This window comes from Homo sapiens, chromosome 3 (genome assembly GCF_000001405.40).
Source record: "Homo sapiens chromosome 3, GRCh38.p14 Primary Assembly".
Lineage (NCBI taxonomy): Eukaryota > Metazoa > Chordata > Mammalia > Primates > Hominidae > Homo > Homo sapiens.
This window is the reverse complement of record NC_000003.12, coordinates 39,432,543-39,448,985: the sequence shown is the minus strand read 5'-3', so window position 1 is coordinate 39,448,985 and position 16,443 is coordinate 39,432,543. Positions and strand designations below refer to the sequence as shown.

Sequence of the window (16,443 nt, the reverse complement as noted above, 5' to 3'; positions counted from 1 at the left end):
GTACTATTTTTTATCTTTTTTATTGCATTTTTACTGCCGCTTTTTTGTTTAAATATGTTTTTATACACAAACGCCATTGTGTTTGAATTGCCTACAGTATTCGGTACAGTAACATGTTGTAAACATTTATAGTGGCTATGGTTTGGATATTTGTCCCCTCCAAGCCTCAGGTTGAAATTTGATCTCCAGTGTTGGAGGTGAAGCCTAACGAGAGGCCTTCGGGCCATGGTGTGGGGAATCCCTCATGAACGGCTTGGTGCCAGCCTCGCAGTAATAAGTGAGTTCTCACTCTATGAGTTTCCTTGAGATCTGCCTGTTAAAAAGAGCCTGCCACCTTGCCCTCCCACTCTTTTGCTGCTTCTCTATTGCCATGTGATCTCCGCCCATGAGGGCTCCCCTTCTTTTTCCGCCATGAGTGGAAGCAGTCTGAGGCCCTCACCAGCAGCAGATGCTGGCACCATGCTTCAAGCCTGCAGAACCATGAGCCAAATAAACTTCTTTTCTTCATAAATTACTGAGCCTTAGGTGTTCCTTTATTACAACACAATCAGACTAAGACAGTAACCTAGGAGCAGTAGGCTATGTCATATAGCCTAGGTGTGTAAAAGCTATGCCATCTTTATTTGTGTAAGTACACTCTGTGATGTTTGCACAATGATGAAATGGCCTCAACCACACATTTCTCAGAAAGTATTCCCATCGTTAAGTTTTATATGACTATATTCTTCAAGCACTTCATGCATTTATCTCATCTGTTCCCCCACGACACCCCTATTTGATGTTTTTATTATTCTCATTTTATAGATGTTGAAACTCAAACTCAAAGATCTTCAGTAACTTGCCCAGTCACAAAGTCAGGGGAAGAAATGTGATCTTAATTCGGGAAGCCTGACCTGTCTGTGCTCATACTCACTACGCTATACTGCCCTCTTGTGGCCAGAATGAGTCAGTAGAAACAGCTGAAAGTGATCACAGGCTGGAGGTGTCATGTATGCAACGAGTACGGGCTTGGGAGTGGGATTTTCCAAGATTTCAGTCCTCGCTGCCGCATCGCAACTGGAGACTGAGATATTAACCAAATCAGCTTCCACACTCCACCAAGGCCCACAAGCCGCTGGAGCTGGATGGCATGCTTGACAGAGGTGAGCAAACATCCCAACGGTCTGGGACAGACCCATTTTAGGTCTCTTTTCCCTGTGTCCTTTCCAGTTTATCATTTGTCCAAGATTGTCCATTTTGTGACAAAGTTTTTATTTTTATTTTTATTTATTTTTTATTTTTGAGACGGAGTCTCACTCTGTCACCCAGGCTTGAATGCAGTGGCTCAATCTTAGCTTACCGCAACCTCCAACTCCTGGGTTCAAGTGAGTCTCCTGCCTCAGCCTCCTGAGTAGCTGGGATTACAGTCACATGCCACCAGACCTGGCTAATTTTTTTGTGTATTTTTAGTAGAGAAGGGGTTTTGCCATGTTGGCCAGGCTGGTCTTGAACTCCTGACCTCAAGTGATCTGCCTGCCTTGGCCTCCCAAAGTGCTGGGATTACAGGCGTGAGCCACCGTGCCCAGCCCAAAGTATTATTTAATTGCTGCATTAAAATAAGTCAGGCTGGGTTTGGTAAGCATCCACTGTGTCCACCCCACTTGGGCCATTATCTCTTCTGGTCATGGCACGTGACACACACGTGCAGTAAAAGGAACTCTCACTTAGACATGCTTAGTGAAAGATGATCAGCAGTAATCATATCTGCTTGCTCTGCTCTTTCCAAATGCAGCAGCTTAACCAATACCTGCATTTCAAAGACAGCATTCAAGGCACTTGCTAAAATTATAGAATGTGCTGGGACATGAGGCCCAGAGACAGTCAGTTCCTACTTGTCTCGGATGCTGATAAAAGCAATCCCAGCTGCTGCTCCTGCTAACAACGTGAGTACCAACAAGATACACAGTGACAATTAACTGCAGCATGTGAAATGCAAAAAGCTGGACTGTCAGTTGCTGGGGTAGGTGGGAAATTACAGGTAAGAAAGAAGCTGAGAAATCCTCCCATCAAGAACACGGAGTACTCTGCTTTTGCTGCACTGGCTTTATCATTTTTCTACATAATGTAAATCTGCAACTACTGATTCAATTATTTGACAATGATTTTGCATTCTGCAATAAAGCTTTTGGTAGCAATGAGCTCAAATAAATGAAAATCAAGGTTAATAGAAAATTAGGTGTTAAATCCGTTTCTCCAAAAAGTTGGAGATGACTATGGAACTTGCACAAATTGTCTATAAGCTTTTACTTTCCATGTGGGAGCTGTGGTGATTCACTGATCCTCCCACCTCCCACATTCCCCAAAAGAGATAGAAATCTGCTGAGGAAGCCTCAATGTCCACTCCAAAAATAAGTAGGTATTTTAAGAAGACTGTGCCCTAAAATGACAGTTTAAAATGTGCAGCTACAGAACACGCATTTACAGATCACACCAGGAAGGTGACTTTCTATTTAATGACTGTTCTTTTAAATGAATTTTGCTCACTTTTTATTTGAAGTTTGGTACTGATCATCAGATTTTAGAAATTTTTGAACCTTTGAAAAACTACTGTGTAAATCAAACTGTGCCCCTACTCATTTTTATAAAATATTTATTTTAATTTTTGATTTGTTTTTGCTTAAAACCCATTGAAACCATTTAATCAAAATATTCAGTGAATGGAGCACCCAAAAACTTCCATTTTTGAAGCTTTCAGTACAACACAATGATCACCAAATCGAAGGAACTTGTTCATCATTTTCCCCATCTGCCCACTCGCTGCTTGCTTTCAATTCTGCATGGCTTCCCTGAGCTCCCAGTGTGTGAAACCCCAGTTGACCACAGCTTTACTGTCTCAGAAATGTACCCTTTATTGGCCTATTTCCACCCTTGTCTCACTTCCCCACTTAACTTATTTAAGGAGTAAGTTTTGAGATGTACTGCACATCAGGGTGATTATAGTCAATAATAATGTATATTTCAAAATAACTAAGAGGGTAAATTTCAAATATCTCCTCTGAAAAAATAAGTGAGATGACAGATATGTTAATTAGCTTGATTTAATTATTCCACATGGTATACCTATATCAAAACATCACAGTGTATCCCTTAAATGTATACAACTGTAATTTATTTAAAATAATATTAATTTTTTAAAAAATTGTTCTTACAGGTATCTAGGGACTATTCCAGGCCAAGCAACTTATTTTTCAATATAGAATTAAGTTGGAAAAGTTAGAAAATATTCACATGGTGATACTGTGATCAGATGAGCTATTTAAACATTTCTAAAAGACTTGTGTTTTGGCCTGGCGCAGTGGCTCACGTCTGTAGTCCCAGCACTTTGGGAGGCTGAGGAGGGAGGATCACTTGAGGTCAAGAGTTCGAGACCAGCCTGGCCAATAGGGTGGAACCCCAACTCTACTAAAAATACAAAAATTAGCACTATGTAGAATTGATATGAGAAATCCCTACCTTAATGTGGCAGATGATATTTACACACTTAAAATAGGGTTTCTCCTCTTCTGTTGCCTATATATTATATAGTACCAAGTGTCTTGAATATTTTATGTTGATGGTCAAAATTTGAAATTTTAAAAGATGACTTTTCAAAGTTATAAAAAAGGAAAGAAAAGGGTATATGTGAGCCCTTCACTCAAAGCAGTTGTATCAGGGACTTCTCTCATGTCTTATCTCCCCACTTGCTAGGACACAATACCTTATGAAATGGGGGTCATCAATTTGGTCAGCCAATCTTCTGTCTGGAATTTGCCCATTTCTGGCCCTTTATGCAGCACTCTCAACTCATCTGTCATTTATCCTTGCAGCCTAAGTAACATTCGTTTTTATCTTGGGAAGGAGTCTACTGTTTTATCATTAAGTAAGAGGTTTACACTCATTTTCTTGAAGCTTCCTTTAATCAAGTTAAGACAGTCTCTCATTTATTACTCTCTGGAGGAAATTATCTAATTTTGAGTGAAACAGGTTTTCTTTTCTTTTTCTTTTCATGGTTGAACTGTGTTTAGTGATAAACTATGAAGGAGAGTGCAGTTCCTGGCCTAACCCTCATCTCTGCTTGGGCATTAAGAATGATCGCATATTGGCCGGGCACGGTGGCTCATGCCTGTAATCCCAGCACTTTGGGAGGCCGAGGTGGGTGGATCATGAGGTCAGGAGTTTAAGACCAGCCTGGCCAATATGGTGAAACCCCGTCTCTATTCAAAATACAAAAATTACCTGGGAGTGGTGGCATGTGCCTGTAGTCTCAGCTGCTCTGGAGGCTGAGGCAGGAGAATCACTTGAACCTGGGAGGCGGAGGTTGCAGTGAGCCGAGATTACGCTACTGCACTCCAGCCTAGGCAACAGAGCAAGACTTCATCTCAAAAAAAAAAGAATGATCGCGTATTAAAAACTGTAGTGCAGCAACAGCTGACATGTTTGGAGCGCTGCTGCATGCCAGAAAATATTCTAAGGGCTCTAGATATATTAATTCATTTGATTCTCCTGACAACCCCATGATATGGCACTACTATTCTCTAATTTACACAAGGAGAAACCAAGCACAGAGAAGTTAGATCACGTCCCAAGGATCACAAGACCAAACGGCAACACCTGGATTTAAACCTGAGCTTTTTGGCTCCTGAGCCCACACTGAATCCTGTACTGCTTCTGCCACTGAAATGGGCACATCGGGACATACCTCTGGGTTTCCAGGACTGGTGGCCTTTTAAATTTCAAATCACTTTCTTCCTTCCTTTCTTATGGCAAAGGACAAAAAGCAAGTCATTGGATTATATTCATTCATTCATTCGTTTGTTTGTTTTTCCATCGGCAATCAAAAAAAGGACCATGGACTAAGTCTTATGTGAATCTCTGGGGACAAAGAGATGAATACCACAAAGTTTTTGGCCTCAAAGAGCCAGAGACAGCTCATGTGCCAGGTTAAAGGCTTTCAAAAGTGTTAGCAAAGGATGCTGTAAGAACGTAGAAGAGGGCATTTCATTCAGCAGGGAGCTGGGAGCCTGAAAATCTTCTTGGGAAAAGATTTCCAAGCTGGGTCTGAAGGAATGAGTAGGGACACAGATTCCCCATTCCAGTTCTGGCCTCTGGAGCCCTATTCAGGGGTTGATGGGAAGAGAGGAGTGGGTGCAGAGAGGACCCAGTGCCCAGGACAGAGGTGCTCACAGGATAGACCCAGTTCTCTCTCTCTCTCCCTGCCCCATTCCCTCCCTGCAGAGGGAGCCCTGGCTCCCCTGATGTCCTCAACTAGGCATCAGGATGCCCTTCAGTGAAGCGTTGCATCACAGTGCTGCTCTTGACCGCAGACCCAGGTAAGAACTATGGGCTCAGGGAACTCTTCCAGCCTCTGCAGAGCTCCAACAGATGCCTCTTCCAACAGCACTGTGAAATGGCGACCACGCCACTGTCCTCCAGCAATGAGGGAGTCTGCCCTGTTTTCCTCATCTCAGACTTCCATCACTTTCCAGTGCAGGACCAGCAATGCTCTACAGGTCACCCCCTTCTGCACACAACCCCAGGAGTCCAGGGGTGACAGGCCCACAACTTCCAATGCCAAGGGAGCAAAGGACCACATTTGGGTATTAGTGGCTTTGTTCTAACACTGGAAATTTTATGTAGCCTCTGTATGAGACATTATATTTTTTTCTTTTTCTTTTTTCGAAACAGAGTCTCACTGTGTCGCCCAGGCTGGAGTGCAGTGGTGCAATCATAGCTCATGGCAACCTTTGCCTCTCGGGTTCAAGCTATTCTTCTGCCTCAGCCTCCCTAGTAGCTGGGATTACAGGTACCCACCAACACGCCCGGCTTTTTTTTTTTTTTAGTAGAAACAGGATTTCACCTTATTGGACAGGCTGGTCTCGAACTTCTGACCTCAAGTGATCTGCCCGCCTCGACCTCCAAAGTGTTGGGTTTATAGGCCTGAGCCACCGCACCTGGCCTATGTTTTCTAAAAGAGAGATTATGAATGGAATCATTAACAAACATGATACTTTTATTAAAGGAAAATCATTCAGAGACTAAATCAATAAGAAATTGAATGTTATCCAGTCTTTCCATTTTAGTTTATTATTAGTTGTGAGAAATATTCTATTTTTAATAATAACATGGACAGATTATGCACATAGCATATAATAGATTGTATAAATGTGTAACAGTCTCTTTGATTACTAAAGGAAAAAAAATGTTATGCTTGAACATTTGGAGATTTCAAATATATTCATGCCCAATTCCAGTGATACATAGTAGAGCAAAGTCATTATAGGTGAAGCTAAAGACTTGGTCTCATGGAACCAGAGATTGGAAAAACTAAACAGTGAAAGGGAGGGCTAGCATCCAGGCATGCAAATAAGGAGCTTGTCACATCTATCAGCATCTGCAGCATCTTTGTTAATCACACAGAGTATAACTTTGCATTCTAATTACCAATCCCACTAACCTTTGTACAGATTTGAGCACTGCAGGTCCCAATCATGCTTAGGGCTGTGAGTTGTATCAGAACTTGTCCCATCATCTGTCAGCTGCTGTTGAAGGCACAGCTAGGGATAAATGAACCAGGCTGCATCAGTGTGATCCATGCCTGGAAGTGCAATGCAAAGAAGGCTTTGCCCTTCTTTTCAGAGGTGCAGGCACCAGCCTCCATCCTGTCACCATGCAGCTGAGTGACCCTGGGAGGCAGCCTTACTTCTTTGTCCATTCCCACATTGGGTTTCATCAGACCATTTGGGGAACTCTGAAGCCTGGTTACCCACGGACTATTTGGCAGAAAATAAAACTTGGAGATCATGTAACCAAATCCCTTATTTTGCAAATACAGTGAAACTCTCAGAGGCCTACTGGTTTCATAGCTAGGCATTCAATTCCTGCTTCCATTTTTCAAAGCTAGGCATTCAATTCCTGCTTCCATTTTTTCCCTGCAAAATACATTGCAAATTATAATGTCTTTTTAATAAATATTTTATGGTATTTAAGGTTTTTTTCTTGACTTGTTTAGTGTCTTGATTTCCTTTCACTTCAAACCAGTCAGGATTTGTGAAATAGAACAGAAGGCTTCTGTAATATTTGTTTTTCTAGAAGTTTGAAGATAGAAAATGCTTTAAGTAGTCAGTGCTTTAGATCTGTTCCTCTGGCTTGTGGCTTTAAAGAATTCAGATGTTGCATTTCTTTACTCTTTGTTTAACAAGTCTAACTTATTGATTATACTATCAGTATTTTCAGTTCAGCCAGATCTTGTTTTCTAGGAATATTTGAAAAAACTGTGGCTGCAAAGGGCTCTTTAGCTATAGAAAACATAATGTTTTAGCATGTATTAGTGCTTCCTTAGGCAGTCATTCAAATTATTTTGCATGCTCTGAGAATACATTAACTTGAAAATAGAGAAAGAGTTCCAGATGTTGAGTCTACAGAGTTACGCCAGGAGCAACCTAGGATTTAAATTTTTTCCACACATATTACATAGAATAAAGAATATGAGCATAATAACTGAGAGCTGGCAACACAACAATGTAAACAACTGCAATTATGATTTTTTCAAGAATATCTTTAGGACTGGGTGCAGTGGCTCACGCTTGTAATCCCAACACTTTGGGAGGCCGAGGCGAGTGGATCACCTAAGGTCAGAAGTTTGAGACCAGCCTGGCTAACATGGCGAAAACCCATCTGTACTAAAAATACAAAAATTACCCAGGCGTGGTGACACATACCTATAATCCCAGCTACTCGGGTGGCTGAGGCAGGAAAATCGCTTGAACCCGGGAGGCAGAGGTTGCAGTGAGCCGAGATTGCACCACTGCACTCCAGCGTGGGGAACAGAGTGAAACCCTGCCTCAAAAAAAAAAAAAAAAAAAAAAAAAAACAATCTTTAAAGCAAATACCTATTATATATTTTTCTTTTTATTAGAGTTATCAGCAGGTGGTATTTCATTTTTGTTGAAACTTTAAAAAAAACAGAAAAAAAAAAAAGACAAGGTCTCCGCCGGGCGCAGTGGTTCACGCCTGTAATCCCAGTACTTTGGGAAGCCGAGGTGGGTGGATCACGAGGTCAGGAGTTCCAGACCAGCCTGACCAACATGGTGAAACCCTGTCTCTACTAAAAATACAAAAAATTAGCTGGGCATGGTCGTGGGCGCCTGTAATCCCAGCTACTCGGGAGGCTGAGGCAGAGAATTACTTGAACCCAGGAGGCGGAGGTTGCAGTGAGCCAAGGTTGCACCACAGCACTCCAGTCTGGGCGACAGAGCAAGACGCCGTCTCAAAAAAAAAAAAAAGACAAGTTCTCACTCTCCCACTCAGGCTGGAGTGCAGTAGTGCAGTCATAGCTCACAGCAACCTCAAACTCCTGGGCTCCAGCGATCCTCCCGCCTCAGCCTCCCAAGTAGCTGGGACTACAGGTATGCACCACCACACTGCCTAATTTTTAAGTTTTTGTAGAGACCGGGTTTCCCTGTGTTGCCCAAGCTGGCCTCAAACTCCCAGGCTCAAGCAATCTTCCTACCTCAGCCTCCCAAAGTGTTGAGATTATAGACATGAGCCACTGCACTGGACAATGTTTTGTTTTGTTTTGTTTTTGAGACAGTCTCACTCTGTCGCCCAGGCTGGAGTACGATGGCGCAATCTCAGCTCACTGCAATCTCTGCCTCCTGGGCTCAAGTGATTCTCCTGCCTCAGCCTCCCGAGTAGCTGGGACTACAGGCAGCTGCCACCACGCCCGGCTAACTTTTGTATTTTTAGTAGAGACGGGGTTTCACCATGTTGGCCAGGCTGGTCTCGAACTCCTGCCCTCAAATGATCTACCCACCTCAGCCTCCCAAAGTGCTGGGATTACAGGCGTAAGCCACTGCACCTGGCCTGGACAATGTATTTTTTAATAATAAAACAAAAATATGTTATTCTTCCCACTCTCCAAAGAAAACTGTCCAAGCTGCCATATGCAAAAATGGAACAAAAAGCTGCAGAGAAAAGAGGAGAGTGTCTGTGAAGTCCTAGAAGGGAGAGTGATCAGGGACCCTCAAGGTGAGCTGCATGCCTAGAGGGTAGAATTTTAATAGGAAGAAAATGGAATGAATCTGGAGAGGGAAGCAGGAGAAAATGATGACATTGTCTGCTGGTTTCACAGAGGGTTTAGTCCCAAAGCTGAGCAAAGGTGATTTATTATCTGAAATTACTTAATTCTGGCCATTATTGCCCTAGTAATTAGCAAAAAGTTTGGCTCATTATGGGTTCCCAGTTGCATAGATTTGGGGTAAATGAATGATTGAATCAATAACTATTACATTATTATATAATCCATAAGCTGTAGGCCTTACAGTTTTTTCAATCACAACATTAAGCATCCTCTCGTTACAATGATTATCTTCTGGAGCCCACATTAGATTAGCATGGATGATGAGAAACATGCACAGTTCAAGGACTCATAAAAAACAGCACTGACCTGATGTGACTGAGAAGAGCTCCCCGAGTGTGTGGGCCATCTGAGCAGGCTTGGAGGCCGGTGTAGTCAGAGGTTTTTCAGACCTCGACAACCTTTGCTCTACCCTGCAGCCTGACCCCCATATGAAATTTTTTAGAGACCTTGTCCCATCACCTGTCAGCTGCTGTTGAAGGCACAGCTAGGGAGAAATGAACCAGGCTGCATTAGTGTGATCCATGCCTGGAAGTGCAATGCACAGAAGGCTTTGCCCTTCTTTTCAGAGGTGCAGGTACCAGTCTTCATCCTGCCTCCATGCAGCTGACTGACCCTGGGAGGCAGCCTTACTTTCTTCGCTGGTTCCCACATGAAGTTTTATCAGATCATTTGGGGAACTCTGTTGCCCGGTCATCCACGTACTATTTGGGAGGAAATAAAACTTGGAGATCACATAAACAAATCCCTTATCTTGCAAATAAAGTGAAACTCTCGGAGGCCTACCAGTTTCATTTTAAATTCTGACAAAATATGCAATGTTTATAAATAAATCATTGCCATTGTCTGGAATTGAACTTGACTATGGCTGTCTTTCTTTCTTTCTTTTCCTTCTTCCTTCCTTTTTTTTTTTTTCTTTTGAGACAGAGTCTCACTCTGTCACCCAGGCTGCAACCTCTGTCTCCCAGATTCAAGCTATTTTGTGCCTTAGCCACTCAAGTAGCTAGGATTACAGGCATGCGACACTACGCCTGGCTAATTTTTGTATTTTTCATAGAGACGGGGCTTTGTCACATTCCCAGGCTGGTCTCAAACTCCTGACCTCAAGTGATCCACCCACCTTGGCTTCCCAAATTGCTGGGATTATAGGCGTGAGCCACTGTGCCTGGCCCCTCCCTCCCTCCCTCCCTTTCTTCCTTCCTTCCTCCCTCCCTCCCTCCCTCCCTCCCTCCCTCCCTCCCTCCCTCCCTTCCTTCCTTCCTTCCTTCCTTCCCTCCCTCCTTCCTTCCTTCCTCTCTTCCTTCCTTCTTTTCTTTTCTTTTCTTTTCTTTCCGGAGTTTCATTCTTGTCGCCCAGGGAGGGAGGGAGGGAGGGAGGGAGAGAGGGAGGAACTTAGGGGGAAAAAGGACAAATGAATGATGATTCTCCATTCTCACTCAACAGATAGCAAAGATAACATTAATCTTTTATGTATCCTGCTGCAGTAAGCATGTTTTGTACATTATGAAACTGTTTTCCAAATAGAAAAGAAGGTGTTAGAAGGAGTGCTTTTGAGTTCGTTAGTCACTGCTCTCAGCTAAGCAGTAAAAGCTTTAAGTCCTTGAGGAAGGGCCTATTGGTGGAAGCCATTCCAAAGTTCCAGACCAAGCAGGAAAGAATCCTGCCATAAGATTGTCTTTGGGAGACAAACTTCAACTGTTTCCTAGCAGCCTACCCTGCAGATTTTGGACTTGTACCCGCACATGAGCCAATTCCTTAAAATAAAGGACTTTTTAAGCCAAATCCTTAAAAAAATATTCCCACACCAAGAGCAGGCCCATTTATTTTATTCCTTATTTTAAGGAGTAAAAATCTATCTAATCTAATCTATCAAAAATGTTCAAAGTGACCAAGTTAATAATGGCCAAAAACTGGAACAGTCCAAATGGCCATTGCAGTACACTGATGTCATGAAGACCCTGCAGGAGCATGGTGACCAGGAATGAAAAGCACAGAGACAACACTGAGGGAAAGAGGCAAGTCACACAAAAAGATGTGCAATTATTCCATTTATAGGAAGGTGAAAAACCAGCTGGCCCAACTAAAAAATGCCAAAGAGTCTGAATAGACAGTTCTCTAAGACATACACATGACCAATAAGCACACAGTCATCAGGAAAATGTAAATCAAAGCCATAATGAGAGAACACTCACACTCACTAGCCTGCATAGAATCAGAAAGACAGATAGTAACAAGTGTTGACGAGGATGTGGAGAAATGGTAACCCTCATACACTGCTGGTAGGAATGTAAAATGGTATAGCCACTTTGGAAAACAGTCTGGTAATTCAAGTGGTTAAACATAGAGTTACCATATGACCCAGCAATTCCACTCCTAAGTATATATGCAAAAGAAAGGACAATGTCCACACAAACACTTGTACACTAATATTCATAGCAGCATTGTTCATAACAGCGAAAAAACAGAAACAACCCAACAAATGTCTATCAAATGACAAACAGATTTTTTTTTTTTTTTTTGAGGCAGAGTCTCACTCTGCCACCCAGGCTGGAGTGTAATGGCATGGCCTCAGATCACTGCAACCTCCACCTCCCAGATTCAAGCAATTCTCCTGCCTCAGTCTCCCAGGTAGTTGGGATTACAGGCATGAGCCATTACGACCGGCTAATTTTTGTATTTTTAGGATAGACAGGGTTTCACCACATTGGCCAGGTTGGTCTTGAACTCCTGACCTCAGGTGATCCACCCACTTCAGCCTCCCAAAGTGCTGGGATTACAGGCGTGTGCCACCACGCCCAGCCAACAGATTTTTTATTTTTTAATGTAATATATCAGCCAGGCACAGTAGCTGATGCCTGTAATCCCAACACTCTGGGAGGCCGAGGTGAGAGAATTGCTTGAGCCAAGGAGGTTGAGGCTGTAGTGAGCTATGATCGCACCACTATGCTCCAGCCTGGGTAAGAGAGCAAGACCCTGTCTCAAAAAAGAAAAAAGTAGTATATCCATACGGTGCAGTATTGTTCAGCCAGAAAAAGAAATAAAATATCCATTCCTGCTATAAAGGACCATATGCTGTATCATTCCATTTAGGCATGTATGTAGAGACCAAAAGTAGAAGAGTGGTTGCCTAACTGCTAATGGTCATAAGGTTCCTTTGTGGAGGAAAATATTCAAATTGATTATGGAGGTGATTTCATAACTCTGTGAATATATTAAAAACTACTGAGTTGTACACTTTAAATGGGTAAGTTGTATGGCATGTCACATGTCATATGTCAATAAAGTTGTTTTTTTAAAAAAACAGGAAAATAAAACAATGTATGAATTGAAGAGGCATACTCAGGTGATAAAATGATAAAGTCAACCAAGGTGTCAAAAGAACAAAAACTCTACGACCTCAGGGAGGAAGGAAATATCAAAAACAGTTCAACACATAGCATTATTTTAGAAAATTATGTATGTGTGCGTATATATATTTATATACTTAAACTCTATGAGGATATATCACATACTTCTTAGTTATATGTGGGTTGAGATCTTCTAAATTGTATAATAAGTGAATTTCAAAAATGACTCAAAAGTCTTCTGGTACCTGCAGATGGGCCTGCTCTTGGTGTAGGAATTTTTTTGCGGGGTGGCTGGAGGACGGAGTCTCACTCAGTTGCCCAGGCTGGAGTGCAGTGGCATGATCTCAGCTCACTGCAACCTCCACCTCCCAGGTTCAAGTGACTCTCCTGCCTCAGCCTCCTGAGTGGCTGAGATTACAGGCATGTGCCACCTCACCCGGCTAATTTTTGTGTTTTTAGCAGAGACGGGGTTTCATCATCCTGACCAGGCAGTCTCAAACTCCTGACCTCAAGTGATCAGCCCGCCTCAGCCTCCCAAAATCCTGGGAATGCAGGCATGAGCCATCGCGCCCGGCCATGGTGTAGGAATATTTCTGAAGTTTCAGGGAAAACATCTCCCCTCACCAGGCCCTGTGTGGATTTGTTGATGCCTGTGGCACAGGGAGTCTCTTGATACACCCTAAGGGGGTCATGGAGTCTTCTCCCCTACTGATGGAGAGCTGGAAGACACACTTGTCTCAATTTTCTCTCTTCTACATTTGTCTAGAGTCTGTTTGCAGCAGGGAAGAGGCCTCTGAATGCACTTCTGTGGGTCATTGAGAGATCTAAAGAAATAACTTCAGCCCTGCCGGGCAGACATGGCCCCCACCACACCTCCCCTCCTATTATGAGTCACAGAGACAGGCCCAGAGCATTAGTGGGGGTGCAGAGGGGCCTAACACCCTTCCCAGGGGCTGTTGGGTACCTGGGACAGATGCTTGCACCCCCACACACTGGTGCAAGAAGCTCCCACCCTTCCAGACAGCTGGCCTGACCAGCTGGAGCTGAGAACCCCACCCTTCTCAGAAATCCCTGCCACCATTCCTCAGGGCTACTGGACCAGCTCCTTGGCCAACAGCCTCCACACTGGGCCTTCTCTGCCACATTTAAAAACACCCCTCTAGGAATAACAAGTGTTGCTTTGAACCCCTCTGAGTAGTCACCCTCCTCTCCTGACTCAGATCCTGTGAATTTCCCACCTGCCTCTCACAGATGCACACTGGCCTCTCCACAGGGTTCCTATAAGGATATTCTCCCTGGAGATGAGTGTGACAGTTGATGTTTTCCAGAACTTCCTGTGCTTCACCTGCTGCCCCAGTATGGTGCTCTTTTGAGACAAACAACACAATTCTGATGTTGGTAGCAAAAGCACATGTTTATTTCCCAGCCAGAGCCAGATAGCAGCCTCCTTGGATGGGATGGGAACTAGCTAAAATATCACATGGGACATAAGGGCTCAAGGGAGAAGGGGGAGGCCTGAAGAAACGAGGAGATGCTGGGGATCCAGAGGAGGCACCACCAGGCAGATGCAGGAGGTAGAGAGAGACCAGCACCCCGCCTACTGGGGGTTCCCCAAGAGTGCCTCTCTCATCCCCTGGGGGCACGGTAAGCTCAACCAAACCCCACCAACCACACCCTCCCCTTCTACTATGAGTGAGTCACAGAGACAGGCCCAGAGTATTGGCGGGGATACAGAGGGACCTCATACACACACATTCATGAAATAAACATCTCCTCACAAAAATTCAGGGATCCAGCTCCTCCCCGAGCCCAGCCCTGTCTTGCCTGAGATCAGAGCCCTTCCCTGAGGCCTCAGGCATTACAATCCAAGTCAGTGTCCCCTGAACCCAGTCCTACCTTACAGGAGGGGCTCTGGCTTTATCAACACCCCTACCCTACCACACCTCAGAAGGCTAAACACCTCCTTTATGTCTTCCCCCAACACCACACCTCTCAGACTAGCACTGTGGAATGGACCCAGCGAAGGAGGAGAAGAGCAAATGAAGTCTCAGTCCTCCTGGGTGAGGTGGGGGCAGTGAGGGTGGCGGGTCTCTTCCCTGTGAAAACCTGAGGACTGAGAAAGTAAGCAACTTGGGGCCTGTTGGGCAAAGTCACCTCTCCAGGAGCCTTTTGGGCAGCACTGTGAGCTTGTTCTTGGGAAAGGCAGCATCATCTCTCTCCTCCGCTCCACCAGAGGCTCCACCTGGGCTCCTGCCACACCCACGTCTGCGACACTTTCCCTCTCCACTAATTGGAGGCCCAAGACTTGCAGGGAAGCAGAAGACAGAAGATGTCTCTCAGCTTCCAAGTGGAAGCACCCAGTCTCATCACTGGAATTTGAGCTTTCTTGATTTGGGGTGCACCTGGAGAATGAGCAGGGGGCACAGGCCTGTTCGGGGAAGGACAGGAGGGGTGTTCCAGGGTTCAGTTTATAATCGTGAAGATCTCCCTGTTTTCCTTTCTTTCTTAGGGACAGAGAATTCAAAACTCTCAGCCTTTTGCAATGGTCGGCAAGGGTTTTGGTGTGGACAGAGGGGCCGTCATCAAGGAGACCCACATCCCACTGCAGGGATTGGCCTGGAGAGGAAGACACTGTTGCCAACTTTCAGTTTCAGTTTAAATTCCAGAAAGGAAAAGTGGACCTTAAGGAAGCTGACTCACATTGCTAGCAAATCATTGCCAGAAAGAAAATTTGAATTGTTAAAACACAATATTTGTGCCTCTTTAAAGCCAAATTCAAAAATGGCAGAAAGGGTCTGAAGTTCCTACCTCCATGAGCCCTAGCTCAGCTCAGCCTGCCTGACAGCTTGTCAATCCATGCCCAGCAAGCAAGAGCTGATGGGGTCTGGACAGGGCTAGGGCAAGTGGGCTGGGAGAGGAGGTTACTTTGGGCAAGGTGGGCCAGTGCATTCTCACAGGGCATAGGACACAGGAGGAGAAGCTGGCAGCACCTCCCAAAGGGTGGGACACTTCCTGAGTCTTACCTCTGCTTCTTGCCCCCTGAACTAAGTACATCTTACAGGTGGAGTTGGAAATCCCTCTTCCCAGCCGCGCGCTGTGGCTCAGGCCTGTAATCCCAGCACTTTGGAAGGCCGAGGCAGGTGGATTTACAAGGTCAGGAGTTCAAGACCAGCCTGGCCAAGATGGTGAAACCCCGTCTCTACTAAAAATACAAAAATTAGCCAAGCGTGGTGGCAAGTGTCTGTAATCCCAGCTACTTGGGAGGCCGAGGCAGGAGAATTGCTTGAACCCAGGGTGTGGAGATTGCAGTGAGCCGAGATCGCATCACTGCACTTCAGCCTGAGTGACAGAGTAAGACTCCATCTCAAAAAAAAAAAAAAAAAAAAGAAATCCCTCTTCCCTTCCAGTAAGCAGTGGCCTGGAGCAGAGCCCTGACCCAAGCAGCCATTTCCACATGACACCTGGGCCCTGCTTAGAGCCCCTGGAAACAGTAGGGCTGGAGAGAGCCCTCAAAGGCAATGAACACCTCGCATGTGCAGGTGGCAGCATAAGTCAGTGGGATGTCCCCACCATGATGATCCTGTGTCCCTAAAGTGGCGAGGCCAGAGGAAGATCAGCAGGCCCAGACATAAGAAAATGAAGGGAGGAAGGACTCAAATCAAATACTTTACTTTCTTTTTTTTTTTTTTTTTTTGAGACAGAGTCTCGCCCTGTTGCCCAGGCTGGAGTGCAGTGGCACGATCTCTGCAACCTCGTTCAAACGATTCTCATGCCTCAGCCTCCTAAATAGCTGGGATTACAGGTGTGTGCCACCACCTTAGTTAATTTTTTTGTATTTTTAGTAGAGATGGGGATTCCCCATGTTGGCCAGGCTGATCTTGAACTCCCGACCTCATGTGATCCGCCTGTCTCAGCCTCCCAAAGTGCCAGGATTACAGGTGT

General features: G+C 44.6%; 1 annotated feature.

Annotated features, from left to right (window-relative positions):
- Positions 852-1,021: a silencer, noted in NCBI's record as "silent region_14229". NCBI's record gives its function as "represses an Ori minimal core promoter by ATAC-STARR-seq in GM12878 lymphoblastoid cells {active_cell/tissue: GM12878}" and the evidence as "EXISTENCE:reporter gene assay evidence [ECO:0000049][PMID:35858748]".